The 15485-nt window shown below is 40.7% G+C and overlaps 1 protein-coding gene across 10 annotated transcripts in view, besides 2 other annotated features; it reads right to left on the reverse strand.

Moving 5' to 3' along the window:
• MAP3K5 (mitogen-activated protein kinase kinase kinase 5) overlaps positions 1-15485 on the reverse strand; it is a 236046-nt gene that overhangs the window by 180116 nt on the left and 40445 nt on the right. The window lies entirely within an intron of this gene.
• Positions 7862-8031: an enhancer, noted in NCBI's record as "experimental_90334 CRE fragment used in MPRA reporter constructs". NCBI's record gives its function as "activates a minimal promoter by MPRAs in K562 erythroleukemia cells, with activity observed for the introgressed 6:137066246 variant allele {active_cell/tissue: K562}" and the evidence as "EXISTENCE:reporter gene assay evidence [ECO:0000049][PMID:34662402]".
• Positions 14467-14566: an enhancer, noted in NCBI's record as "active region_25117". NCBI's record gives its function as "activates an Ori minimal core promoter by ATAC-STARR-seq in GM12878 lymphoblastoid cells {active_cell/tissue: GM12878}" and the evidence as "EXISTENCE:reporter gene assay evidence [ECO:0000049][PMID:35858748]".

The raw sequence follows: 15485 nt of genomic DNA on the forward strand, positions 1-15485 counted from the left end.
TCTCACTTGTAAATGACAGCTAAACATTAAGTACACATGGACATAAAAATAGGAATAGACACTGGGGATACTAGAGACGGGAGGGTGGGAAGGGGGCGAGGGTTGAAGAACTACCTATTGGATATTATGCTCACTACACCTGGGTGATGGGATCATTCGTACACCAAACCTCAGTGACACTCAATTCACCCCGTAACAAACCTGCACATGTATCCTCTGAAACTAAAATAAAAGTTGAAAAAAAGGCCAGCCACACAGAGATGAAGACAGGGAACCAAAGACCCTCACCAGCCCCACAATGGGGAAAATGAGATAAGCCTGCTGAATAGAGACAACAGACCAGAAAGGAAAGGAGAGGGCAGCCCCCGCCATGTATCACATACTAAGTCCCTCCAAGGAGCCCTTTGACGGCTTCTTATCACGCTGCCCAGGAGGCTCCGGTTTCTTCGCCTCAGCTTCCATCCATCATAGCACCATGGAATTAAGAACTCCCTTTACTCTGTTCTCCCACATGTTGATTTTAACACACATGATTGTCTATACTGTGCAAAGTACTGAGAAGGGGTCAAAGAAATCAGCATCAGCCCTTCATGGGCTGATAACCTTCAAGTGCAATGGCTGGACATGTGAGCAGCAGAAGTGCAAAGTCAAATGAAATAGATGTAAATGTTCTTTGGGAGCAGAGGACAAGGAGTGGCTGATTCTTACAGGAGTAATGGAGAAGGCCATTCAGGGCAACAGCTTCACAGTAAGCCTTGAGAAGTGGTAGAATTTCAGGATGCAGGGCCTGGGAAGAAGGGACATTCCTGGCTGCTTTGCAATTGCATAATATAGGAGTTTCTTTTTACCAGAAAAAATTGCTCCACTACCTAAGAATGGACATGTACACCACCACCCACCGAATGAGAAATGGCTTATCGCTCTGCCCAGCTGGTCTTTCCACAGGAAGTTTACAGGGAGAAAAATAAATTGCACAATCATTTTTTGGGAACACTTTTCAGTAAAAACTTTTCTTATTAGGGAGAAAGAAATTTCATTTTACTTGTGTCTTTATGCATTCTACCATGCCCGACTAAATGCATCCTCTCCTGTAACGTATCGCTTGGATCCCCTACTTCCCTGGTCCAAGGGGAGTTTCGGTACCTCTTCCTGGCAAAGCTCTCTCTACTTGAGACCTTATAGCTGCGGACCTGCTTGTCTGTGTCCTCCAAGGGACCTGACTGTTTTAACAGAAATACCCGGCAGAGGAGGCATTTGATGGTAAGGAGACAGCTTCTAATTCACATTGCTAAAATGAGAGACAAACAAACAAACAGAAGACAACCTGTGGAAAAGGCTTCTGAATAATAAAAAGAGTCTTCCAACTGGCACTCAGCCCAAGAGTCCACAGATCATCACCACAGCAACAGACAGTATTTGGAGGCAATGAGGAGCACAAAATGCAGATCTGGCAAAGGCATTAGCAAAATTATTCATTTCAAGGAGACTATATAAGCTCCTGAATTTGTAGCATTCGCTTCTATATGTATATTAGCCATCAGAAACAGAAAGAGCTAATGAGCTGAAGTGCTGGTGAGAACAGTCAGGGTACCACATACAGCTAGCTCTACTTGGAACAGACGGCTGATGGCCTAAGGAACCTGTAGCCACGTCAGCTCCAAAGCAGGGACCGGTTCAGTCATCAGTGCAGCCAATGTTCATGAAATCCCTACTAAGTGCCAAGGGATACTAAGTGCTAAGGTCCAAGGGATACAAAAGTCATCCAAACACACACACGCGTGCACACACACACACACACACACACACCCATGCACACTAGGTTCCTGCCCTCAGAAAGCTTATGATCTAGCAAGAGAAGAGACAATCAAATAAACGTACAAAAACAAATGCACACTGTGGTAAGTGTGTTGACGACATGACACAGGGCATTTTGAACAGTACAACAGACAGAACTGATTCGTCAGTGGAGCTCCCCTGACAAAGTAATGGTGTCTGAAGGAGATATAGAAATAAAGGGATGTAGAAGTAAATGTGGCCTATCAGTAGTCAGTGCTGACCAGGCATTACAAATGGCCATGGTGTCGCTCCTGCCTGCTATGCCTGGGGTGTAGCTGGCTGGTGTCAGAATGCCCAAATCCACACTTGCTCTGTGCAGCCCTCAACACCCTGAGCCCATTTCCTCACCTGTCAACCAACAATAACAATAGTCTTTGTCACAGAAAGGGCTTAACAACAAAGAGGTGTCAATGAACATCAGCCACGACTAGAGAGTGGGCCATGGGTCAGGGGGACATTCACCCCTCACTCCCACCCCAGGGTACTGTCAATCACTTACAGACATTTTTCTTATTTCCTGTACTTTTTTCTCATACTTTTCCTATTCGATAAACAGGAAGTATGGAATCAGTAAGATGAGTTTCATTCTTTTCAGTAGACCCTTTAGTGCCTTAAAAAAGTCTGTAGTTAAAGAGCATCTTCAAGAGAGGTCCTAGACCATATGGACACAACCAACATTTGCAGTCACTATTTTGGGGGGTCTGAAGGGGGCAGACCAGGGCAGCTAATGGCAAGCCCCGTAGAAGGTGCAGAAATTTTCCAGCTGAATAAATATTCCAGTTTGCTTCAAACAGTCTTAGATGTCTGTTATCCCATGATATGTATGATCTCATTGTCATTTCTAGTAGATCCCCCCATTCATTCTCAAGTGTCCTGGTTGGGCCCTAAGCAAGCGGCAGTTCCTGCACCATTAGCTGTCCCTTCCATGGGCAGTGGCAGCAGGGGCCTGTAGCTGCCAAGAAACTCAGCAGGAGCCCCTCTTTACAGCTGCTACTCTAGGTGGCTTGGCCCCGGGGCTTCCACAGGATGAAGACCCCAGCCCTGCATGTTCTTCAAATTATTCTCAGACACAAGCTGCTTTTTCCAAATCTCCCAGCCAAGGTAATGATGGAAATTTTACAAATGGCATGGAGTAGAATCAGACAGCTTTTAAACTCCAGCCCTCGCTCTTCACAGTAAATTGCATTTCATCTTGCTGCAATTTTTCGTCTTTTCTTTGGTCATTTCTTGTTTGTGTGGGAGTGTGCACAGCGGGGCTGGGGACGGGGGAGGTGAAGTGTTTTTCCCTTCTTTTTACCTTCCCCCTCTTTCACCTTTAATCTTGGTTTTCCTTTTTTGGAATCTACATCTTCCTCCAAGGGCTGATCTTTGTCTTCTTGAATTTCTGCTGTTTACTTATGATTTCTTACTGAAAATATTCATGTCACGTCAAGTTTCTTTTAGACATCAACAAGCCAGAGCTGGTTTTATAATGCAGACCACGTGTCCCCTGAGTCCTGGACTAAAAGTCCCAAATACTCTTTGGAAACTGGCTTAAACCAGGTCGTCATATCTGAAAGACTTCTCCCCAGCTCTTTCTACCTCCGTGTGATTTATTTAAGAGCAAGACTGAGACAATAAAAAAAAAGAAAGATTTAAAAAAAGAAGAAATGTTACCTGAAATTCCACCATCCATAATCCCACCATTAACCAGATGACATTTTTCCTTGGATTCTCGAGTGAGTTTTTATGTTAGCTTACTTTTAGAAAAAGTGCTACATAAGTTATTTTCTTAAACTGCTCTGAATCTTCCCTTTGTGCCTGTCATCATAAATAAACCAGACTTCTGAGAAGGAGCTTGAGTGCTAAATTACAAAGGGGCAATTTTCTACCATTTAATTGGATCCTACTGCTCTGTACGAGAGCTAGATTTTTTACTTGTTTTGAAAATGAGGGTCACATTAAGATGGTGAATTTTTTTCACTCCTGGAGAGACTATTTACTTCTTCATGTTGAATTCCCAATAGTTCTCACCACATTTCATTATAATATATGCACTTGCTTTTCCATCAATAAGACTGTCTTGGTTGTCGATATAGACCATGACAGTAGCAATGTGAGCCTCTTAACTAAATGTAAGAAATAATGAAACTATATCCAGGCAAATGATAAACAATTTAATGGTTGACAACCCTCAAAAATATAATATATTTAGTCCTTAGTAGCAAATAAATATACATATTAAAATGACCTGTTATTAGCTAGCACACGGAGATACTAACCATTTTGGTATTTCACTCTAAGCGTTTTCCTATACAATTTATTATGCATACAAATAAACATACACATGCCCATTTGGTATGGGAGCAAAATTCAAATTATTGATTTATATATTATCAATTCAAAATTGAATTATAGATAATGTTTCAATCACAACCACTTCTAATTGCTAACTTCACAGCTGGAGAAGCCTGAATAAGATGTTGATAATTTGCAGTCAAATCAAAATAATAAAAGTGTTCAAATACCTACAAAAAAAAAAAAACCCTATAGCTAACATCATACTTAATGGTGAGAAACTAGCTTTCCCACTAAGGTGAAGAAAAGGGCAAAGCTGTCCCCTGTCACCACTCCTTTTCAACATCATACTGGAAATCCCAGCTAATGAAATAAAATGAGAAAAAAATAAAAAGTATACTGATGGAGACAAGAAATAAAACTTGTCTTTGTTCACAGATGGCAGGATCATCTATGTACAAAACCCAAGAGAATCAACAATAACAAAAACCCTCCTAGAATTAATAAGCAATTATAGCAGGGTTTCAGGATTCAAGATTAATATGCAAAAGTAAATTGCTTTTCTATATGTCTGCAATAAACAAGTGGAATTTGAAATTAAAAACACAATGCCATTTACATTAGCACCCCCAAAAATGAAGTACTTAGGTATAAATCTCACCAAATACGGATAAAAACTATATGAGGAAATCTATAAAACCCTAATAAAAGAAACCAAAAAAGAACTAAATAAATTGAGAGATATTCCATGTTCATAGATAGGAAGACTCAATGTTGTCAAGATGTCAGTTCTTCAAAATTTGACCTATATATTCAATGCAATCTCAAGCAAAATCCCAGCAAGTTATTTGGTGGATATTGACAAATTGATTCCTAAGTTTATGTGGAGAGGGAAAAGACCAGAAGAGCCAACACAATATTGAAGAAGAACAAACTGACATTACCTGATTTCAAAACTTACTCTAAAGCTCTATAACAAGACAGTGTGGTGTAGGTGAAAGACTACAGAAATAGATCAACGGAACAGAATAGAAGCCCCAGAAATAGATCCACATAAACACAGTCAACTGATGTTTGACAAAGAAGCAGAGGCAATATAATGAAACAAGGATAATCTTTTCAACAAACGGTGCTGGAACAACTGAACCTCTACATGAAAAAAAAAACAAAAAACAAAAACAAAAAAAACACAAAGATACAGACCTTACACCCTCTGCAGAAATTAACTCAAATGGATCATAGTTCTAAATGTAAAATGAAAAACTATAAAACTCCTGGAAAATAACATAGAAGAAAATCTAAATGACCATTGGTATCATCATAACTTTTTAGATACAATATCAAAGGCATAATAAAAGAATTATAAGCTGGACTTTATTAAAACTAAAAATTTCTGCTCAGCAAAAAAAATTGTCAAGACTGTGAAGAGAATGAGAAGACAAGCCACAGACTGAGAGAATATATTTGCAAAAGACATATCTGTTAAAGAGTGTTATCCAAAATATACAAAGAATACTTAAAACTAAAAAATAAGAAAACAAACGATGAGATTAAAAAATGGGCCAAAGACCTGAATGGATACCTCATCAAAGAAGATATACAGATAGCAAGTAAGCATATGAAAACATGTTCATGGGGCCAGGCAAAGTGGCTCACTGTTGTAATCCCAGCACTTGGGGAGGCCAAGGCAGGAGGATCACTTAAGGCCAGGAGTCATGGTAGAAGGACTACCTGAGCCCAGAAAGCTGAAGGCTGCAGTGAGCTATGCTCATGACACTGCACTCCAGCCTGGGTGACAGAGACCTTGTCTCTAAAAAAAAAGAAAAAGAAAAAGAACAAAAGATGCTCAACATCATCTGTCATCAGGGAATTGCAAATTAAAACATTAAGATACGGCTGGGCGCAGTGGCTCACGCCTGTAATCCCAGCACTTTGGGAGGCCGAGGCGGGTAGATCATGAGGTCACGAAATCGAGACCATCCTGGCTAACACGGTGAAACCCCGTGTCTACTAAAAATACAAAAAATTAGCCGGGCATGGTGGCAGGCACCTGTAGTCCCAGCTACTCGGGAGGCTGAGGCAGGAGAATGGCATGAACCCGGGAGGCGGAGGTTGCAGTGAGCCAAGATCGCGAAACTGCACTCCAGCCTGGGTAACAGAGCAAGACTCTGTCTCAAAACAAAAACAAAAACAAAAAAAAAATTGAGATACCACTACACACCTATTCGAATGGCTGAAATCCAAAACACTGACGCCATCAAAGGCCAGTAAGGATGTGGAACCACAGGAAGTCTCATTCATTGATAATGGGAATGCAAAATGATACAGCCACTTTGCAAGACAGTCTGGTGGTTTATGATAAAACTAAACGTTTATACTATTGCTATACAACCCACCATTTGCACTCCTTGGTATTTACCCAAATGAAGTGAATTATTATGTCCACACAAAACTTGCACACAGATGTGTATAACAGCTTTATTCATAATTGCTAAAACTTGGAAGCAACCAAGATGTCTTTCAGGATGTAAGTGGATAAATAAACTGTGGTACAGACAGACAATTCATTATTATTTAGGGCTAAAAAGAAATGAGCCATCAAGCCATGAAAGGACACGAAGGAAACTTAAATGTACACTGTTAAGTGAAAGAAGCCAGTATGAAAAGGCTGTGACATTCTGAAAAAGAGAAACTATGGAAAAAGCAAAAGGATAAGTGGTTGCCAAGGGTTGTGAGGAGGGATGAATAGGCAGAGAACCAAGATTTTTAGGGCAGTGCAACTATGCTGTACAATATACTACTATAATTGTGGATACATGTCATTATACATTTGTCCAAACCCATAAAATACACAACACCAAGAATGAACCCTAATGTAAGCTATGGGCATCAGGTGATAATGATGTGTCAATGTAAGGTTCACCAATTGTAACAAATGCACCACTCTAGATCAGTATATTAACAGCAGAGGAGGCTGTGTTTGTGGGAGGGTAAGGAGTTTATGGGCAGTCTCTGTACCTTCTGCTGAGTTTTGCTGTAAATCTAAAACCGCTCTGAAATACACATATATATGTATATATACACGTGTGTGTACATACATATATACATATATATATGTATATATGAGAACCCTTGACTCTCCCATGCCCAGAAAAGTCTCTGTTCATGGTGTCAGGGTTATAAGGAAGGCTCCTGACACTTTGACAGAAGCCAAAGAACTCCCACAGATATCTTGAGATTGTGCTGGAAGGAGGACCTAGTCCATGCCACCACAGTTTGGAAATCAGCAGCTCCCAATCCAGCAGCAGAAAGTAGAACTTCCAACCCCATGCACTCCAACATGGACAGGTATCCACACCTTGCACACCCCTCACCAGCACCTACACCAGGGAGTTCTGGTTAGAGAAGTTACGGCTCAATGAAGTGCAGCTGCAAAGCCTAGTCACTTAAAGAATAATTCACAGCCTTGGCTGCACATTGTAATCACCTGGGGGCTTTGAAAAGCAGCAAGTCTGAGTCCTCAGCCCAGAGATCCTAATTTACTTGGTCTGGGGTGTAGGGTGGCCATCAGGATTTTTGGAATCAGGTGATTCTAATTTTCAATAAGACTAAGAACCACAGATTTGGAAGCTGATTTAAAGACACTCATCCATCAACCATGCCGCAGAGCACCGACTGCTTATTTTAGCATTTTGATCCATTATCATGCTCCTTAGAAATTCTGGCAACAAATATTCATTTTCACATTAATGGAAATAAATTGCTCTTAAAATGAAGACCAGTGTAAGTGGTATTTGGCTGGAACATAATGTTTCCTGTTCAGAATACTGACAGGGCAGCAGCGGGCATACACTTGGCAGTCATTAAAGTTTTTTTTTTTTTTTTTTTTTTGAGCAACTTAATTGGAGCTTCGGCATCTATTATGTATCTTGTTTAGAAAAGTTCCTTTAAATTGAATAGACGAAGATGACTATTTTTCCCTTTCCTATATCAGAGTATTAAAAATGGGATAAATATAATCATGTATTTCACCAACACAAATTGTTGGGAAGAAAATTAATTTTCTCTCCATGTTCAACTCTCAACACACGAATACACTTTTTGAAAATACAAGAACACTGACGTGACCTAGAAAAAAGGTTTTGTCAGGGCACTCAAAGAGTTAAAGGAAAGGCCGGCCAGCTCCCTGCCTCTGGCTGCTGTGGCAGGGAGGAGGATGCTGGGAACGCTCCCCACTGAATGGCTCTTTCTCCCCTTCTTTGAGCTGGGAGTAGAGGAATGCAGTGACTCCCAGCACACCTACCATCCTGCCCATGAACATCACAAGACCCTGTTCACAGGGTGGACTCTAAAAATAAAATTCCTTGTGCCGCTGCCTGTGCCTCAGTTTTTCTGCAGGCATTCTGCATGTTTCCGCTGCTTGTTTGTTCAAAGCCTTCCAGCTACACACACAGAAGAAGGGCCCGTGGACATGAAAAAGAGCTCACATCTGTATCTGCTACTTAACAATATTTTCAATAAAGGCATAGATAATGTCTTTTTTGGTAGCAAGAAATTTAATCTAGATAATTCCGAGGAGAGTTAGCATAACCCAGAGATTTCTTAGTCACGTTCCAAAGTCTCATCCTAACGTTAGCTTAATGTCTAACATTGCTTCTCCCTTAAACCCAGATTGATTCTGCTTATGGGATGTTAGTTGGTAAGGAGCATGCATAGCCTGGAAACAGGGTCAAGAGAAGAAGCAGGAAGACTAGTTAGGAGACAGCTGCATGGGTCCAGGTGCGAAATGCTGATGATGTTTGAACTAGGATGGTGGCAGTTTTGGAAGAGTGTCAGATACTTCAAATGATTTAATATCTTAACTCTTGACTTCCCCAATAGAACAAATACCAACTATGGTAAATACAGCAGGTTTATGGCTTAATGTTCAAGTTAATAAGTATTCTCTAGGTTTACAGAATGAAAAAACCAGACATAAAGGACTCAAATGAAATAAATTTCATAAAATTTTGAGGGGGGGGCAGGAAAATACAAATACGTTCATGTCTGTAGGTCTGTGAAAAACGATACAGGTGGAAGATAATCTTACCTGTAATAACATGATGTCTGACTATGAGCTATTAGTTACAACTTAATTATTGACCCAGGAATTTCTATGTACTGTTCTATGGAAGTATTTGGGTCTCTTTAAATGAAAATGACTAGCGAGGCACTGAACATCACGGAAAGAATGCCGGATACACAATTGAAAGTGGTATGCATTTTAATAACTATCCTAGAAGAAAGCTATGGCCCCACCACACAGAGAAAACCATGCAGGGTTCTAATACCCACGAGAGAGGGAGACAAAATCTATGTATAATCATGGTTTAACAGGGGAAAAAAAACAATTTGAGTATGCATAACAATATTCTTTCCTTTTTGCAATAAAAAAGCAATAAGGATTAGTGAGAAAAATTAGGGGAAATCCCCCAGTCCTCTTTCTGACCCCTACTCTTCAGTACCTCTGGTGGCCTTGGTTTGAACACCGTCTGTGCTCTAAGAATGGTCAGTTTGCTACATACAGTTGAAAGAATTACACTTCTTGTTAGAATATTCAAATTCTTTAAAAATGTATTTTTTATACAAATGCAAAATCTGTCTCTAACTTCTACTGATTCACTGCTTCAATTTTCTTTCGTTTTTTTGAGAGACAGGGTCTTGCTCTCTCAATCATAACTCACTGCAGCCTCAAACTCCTGGACTCAAGGGATCCTCCCACTTCAGCCTCCCCAGTAGCTGGGATTATAAGCACGCGCCACCATGTCTAGCTAATTTTTAAATCTTTGTAGAGGCAGGGTCTTGCTACATTGCCCAGGCTGGTTTTGAACTCCTGGTCTTATTGGCCTCCCAAAGTGCTGGGATTACAGGCATGAGTTGCCATGTCTGGCCCATTGCTTCTATTTTCTGCTTTCCTAAAGCTTCACTGAAAAACTCAAATTCCTTCTCTTCCAGAAACCTTCAGACACTTAAGAACAGTAATCCTGGCATCCATGACATTTTCTTATCCAGGTTACAACATCTCTGGTCCCTTCATAGGGCAGCAGGGCTTCTAGTCCTGTTAGTACGGGTGCTGTCTAGATACACTCTGGCCAAAGAATGTACAGGGAGCCAATGCCCATTAAAAGAATTTTCTGGGGCGAAACAAACTATAACTCTAAAAGGAACCAACAGAACCGAAAACCCACCACAATAGTATATGCTGGAAATGTACAGCAAAGGCTGAGAAGCCTGGTGCATGTTTAGCTATTAACAGGTCATGAGTGTCTTTTGCAAGACTGGCAGATTAAAAACAATGGATTGAAGAATAAGTGGGAGGTTATGAGGCAAAAATTGTGAGTTCAGACTAGTGTTCTCAAATTTAATGTGTACATGAATCACCAGGATATTGTGTCAAAAAAGAGATTCTGATTGAGCTGTGTGACATTGGGGTGATGATTACCTTTCTCATAAGCACCCAGTTGATGCCCATGCTGCTGTGTAGGGACCACATTTTGAGTAGCAAGGGTGTAGACTATTGTCAAGTGATCTCCAAGCAGCGGCCATATTGTAAATCCATAAACAGGGTAAAAAGGAATGCTTTCAGCATACAATGAAGCCAACTTTAGCCAACAGGGAAAATATTGCTGTATTTAAGAACCTAGGTCTATCAGATATATGGTGGTTCTTTGGAGGCCATTATTTATTACCATGATCTAAGAGATGGATTTCAAAATGATCTCTAAAAAAAAACAAAATTTCCATTTTCTGCCCCAAAGTGAGAAATCCTAAATAAAGCAGTATTCCTTGAGTCATCTGTAGAGCTGTGAATGTGTCCATGTAGGCATAGAGTATACAATATTATCCATTTCACATCCTTAGTCAGTGGACTTAATCCCACTTTTCTGAATCAGGTGTGGATTATCTTGGTTGACAAGCTTCTCAAATGTATTCAGATAAAGAAGGCACTTGGAAAAATGTCAATATTTATCACTACACAGCCACATTTGAACCGTATTAATTTATACCTAGTGTTCCATTATTGGAACACCAAGCATGTAGGAGTTATTTATATCCTACTGCTCAAGGTCATCACCAAGGTCTGATTGCAAAAATTCAAAAAATTGCAACCTCAGTCATAAATGGGTTAAAATCCCCCAAAATGTCTATATATGTATGCTCACACAAATATGTATTTGTTCAGGAAAAAAAATGAAGAAAATTGTTCTAAAAATATGGGGGAGTGTTCTTCGCAAAACATATGCAAAGACAAGACACAGGGCAAATAAAACCTGAGAAAATATACAAAAGACTATAAGATTAGTTTCTTGAAGAATAAAGATGCAATTAAATTACAGAATTTAACACCTGGCATGGTACAATAAGATACCTTAGAAATAAAGAATTAAAACTTGAAGGCAAGTTTTTAGAAGTTAAAAGTTGAAGTACATGTTTTGTAGAAATTGTGGTCAAAGGTAAGAGAATAACTTCTAAGAAATGAGTGTAAAATATTGTAAAACAGCTTTAACTAGGTAGCTTTAACTAGATTAACACTGACTAAGGCTCTTGGATAACTGCATAGGCAATTCATTTTGTATAATTAAGGAGAAGAAAATCAGCCAGTGGCTGTTGTTTTACTCAGCATCTTTCAGATACAGTTATAGATAAATTCCTGATTTTAGTTAAGAAATAAAACTGGAACAAGAAAGAAAATTATATAATATGCTCAAAACTTATAGTCAAATTGCCTTAATTATTAGGACTGGCCGGGCACAGTGGCTCATGCCTATAATCCCAGTACTTTGAGAGGCCAAAGCTGTTGTCACCTGGAGAAGAAAATGTCAGGGGTGCTGGCAGATCACTTGAGGTCAGGAGTTCGAGACCAGCCTGGCCAACATGGTGAAACCCCATCTCTACTAAAAATACACAAATTAGCCGGGTATGGTGGCACGCGCCTCTAATCCCAGCTACTCAGGAGGCTGAGGTAGGAGAATCGCTTGAACCTGAGAGGCAGAGGTTGCAGTGAGCCAAGATCATGCTACTGCACTCCAGCCTGGGCAACAGAGCGAAACTCTGTATCAAAAAAAAAAAAAAAAAGGAATTATGAGGGCTCCATTAGGGTGCGTGAAGGTCGCCAGTGAAAATACAATGCCTCCGTGATACTCTGTTGGCCGGTTTTGCTGTCTAATATGACTCCAATATCTCAGGACCACTGTCACACCCACGGCCAGATAACCTCCTTCAAAATGAAATGCTCATCAGCACCTAGGGAATGCTCATTCATCTCTCAAAAGGGAGGGCTCAAACATTGCCTCCTACGAGATTTCCTGACACCCACAGCACCATATCTAGTTTGCAATTACCACGAACTTAAAATCTGTCATTTTTTTAATCAGTCTTGTCCAATAGAATGTGAACTTTCAGGCAGGGGGCAAGTCTAATTCATCTGATGTCTATAAGCCCACATGGACGTCGACTGAAAGACTGAGGGCCAGGATGAATAAGGCTGGAAGTCAGCAGCCAGGGAGGAAGGAAGCATATGGAGGAACCTGGGGCAGGCTGTGCTTTGCAACACTCATCCACCCAGTATTTAATGCTCACGGTGAGCAGCTATATCGGTAAACCACCTACTGATGCTGCTTTCAAATTCCTCCTCCTCCAACATATAAACCCGCAAACAACCAGTCATTATCCAAATGCCCTTGCCCAAGGTACTCATCAAAGCAGAAATTAGAGACAAGGTGTGGTCATCCTCTCTCCACACCCCATTGGCCTTCTGTCCTTCCAGTTTTGTTATTTTTTTAAGATGGAGTCTCGTTCTGTCACCCAGGCTGGAGTGCAGTGGCATGATCTCGGCTCATTGTAACCTCCGCCTCCTAGGTTCGAGCAATTCTCCTGCTCCAGCCTCTTGAATAGCTGGGATTACAGGCGTGCACGAGCACGCCTGGCTAATTTTTGTATTTTTAGTAGACACAGGGTTTCGCCATCTTGGCCAGGCTGGTCTCGAACTCCTGGCCTCAAGTGATCTGCCTGCCTCGGCCTCCCAAAGTGCTGGGATTACAAGCGTGAGCCACCGCACCCAGCCTTGTCCTGCCAGTTTTTCAGTAGTTAATACAGATTAGTTCAAAAACATTTCCTGCAGATCTCTAAAAGACCATAAATACCTCTTCTCATGCCAGTGAGGTGTTTTGCAGGACTGCTGAGAACCAGCAGTTCTCTTCAACGATGAAGGGGTGAATTGTTCATGTAGCACTTGAGTATTTTTGTTGTTAAAAATAATTTGTCAAATTACCGTTTCGACAAGATCATGTGGCATCTTTAGATAGATTTAGAATGTGTTGCTTTTTGAAAGCATTTCTGAATCTAGATGAAAAACTTCAGCCTTTTCCCCTAATTTATCTTTCGTTTCAATTGGAGAAAGGTCTTAAACTTGTGAAAATCCTGTCATTCTCACACATTTCATCTTCTTCCTCCTTCTAAAGAAAGTCATCCTGAGTCCTAGTCCTGCAGTGTGTTTACACAATTGTCTCCTGCTCCTAAGGATCAACTACAAAATGCAAAAATTTCCACAAATATTCCTACTTAGTATTTCGGGATGTCAAAAGTTCTGAGTTTCTTCAGAAATTTTTTCTGAAATAACTTTTCAACTCAGCTCATCAGAATGACTAACCAGAGAATACGTTCCTCTCTTTTGGGACCCTTCTGAGGTCAAATTTTCTCATGACTTATAACCCCAGTGAGTTGTTTTTTTCCCCACTTTTTCACCACTTCATCCCCGAGTAGCATTCTTTTGCTCTAATGCAGATTTCTCTGCACAAATCTGCTGATAATCTCTGCTTCTCTGTGGGCTCTGGCTGCTTTTTTTTTTTTTGGCTTATGATTTTACCACCTTCATTTTTTATTAGGTCATCAGAAGGCCCATTATCCTGAACCTTCCCACACATGTTAAGTGTTTATTTGGGAATTATGGCAATATCTTTCTGATGTTTAAATCACAGATTAGTAAAAGGAACTAAATTCCAGATGGCACTGCTGTAGCCCATGGGAATTTGTGAGAGTTAGAATTTACTAGCATTAAGGAAACACTCAAGAAAGCACTGATAGACTGTTAAATATAGTTATGAGAACTTTGGTCAAATCTAGTAATGATCTTTAGAAAAGAACATACTGATAAAGGCCTGCTTATTTCTTCCTTCTGTCCTATGCATACACAAACACCAAAATGCCTCTGAATGCAGAAATCTGCTGGCAGTTGCAGCTTGCAGGTGCTGAATTAAACGCTCCCTTCCCATCCCACTCAACAATCAGGCAGTAATGTTTTATGAAGTTTAAAGATGTGACCTCAGCCTAGAAAAACTGTGAAGACTGCTTAAGAGGAAGAAAGCATATTGGTATGCTTCTCTTTTTCTGGCCCAGAGTATGATTTGCTAATGCAGGCTGCTAAAGGGATGTGGTTATACAGAAAGTAGATTTAGGCTTGCATTCTTGTAATCGAAGCCACCAAACATGTAAAATATCGAAAACACATGAACTTAAAAGAACGAAGCCAAGCCACTCCTACTTTCGGAAGGTTGCCACCCTTGAGACATAGGTGAACTTTCAGTTTGATTTATGGCTTGATAGAATCCCAGTGACCACAGTAATCAGTTGGATTCTAGTTAAATTTATAGAAACATCTCTGGTATTATTTTTTAAGTCATCTTAATTTACTTTTCATTCTAGAGCCTTTTTCTCAGTGTGCTTCAGAGTTCAAAAAAAATTTTTACATTGGTTCTCTGCCTCCCTTCATTCCTACTTCCATCCCTCCTTCTCCCGTTCCCTCTCTCCCTCATTCATTCATGCACTCCACAATGAGTTAGCATCTACCCTGTCCCAGGCAAGGTTCTAGGCCCTGGCACTACAGAGATGATCAAGTCATAGTCCCTGTTCTTAGGGACTTACAGTTAGTGGGGGAGGAGACTTTTAAGCACACCACCTACCTTTCAAATCAATAAGGGCTGTATTAGAAACAGGGATGGTGCCGAGGAAACAACACAGTCAGAGAGCCCAGCTCTTCCTGAGGAGGAAGGTTGGGAGCTGGGTGGGAAGGTGGGTCATATCTGCCATTTCAGCTGGGTTTTTTTGTTTGTTTGTTTTTAAGATGGAGTCTCGCTCTGTCTTCCAGGCTGGAGTGCAATGGCGTGATCTTGGCTCACTGCAACCTCCACCTCCTGGGTTCAAGCGATTCTCCTACTTCAGCCTCCCGAGTAGCTGGGATTACAGGCGCGTGCCACCACACCCAGCTCATTTTTGTATTTTTAGTAGAGATGGGGTTTCGCCATTTTGGCCAGGCTGGTCTCAAACCCGTGACCTCA

This window comes from Homo sapiens, chromosome 6 (genome assembly GCF_000001405.40).
Source record: "Homo sapiens chromosome 6, GRCh38.p14 Primary Assembly".
NCBI classification, from domain to species: domain Eukaryota; kingdom Metazoa; phylum Chordata; class Mammalia; order Primates; family Hominidae; genus Homo; species Homo sapiens.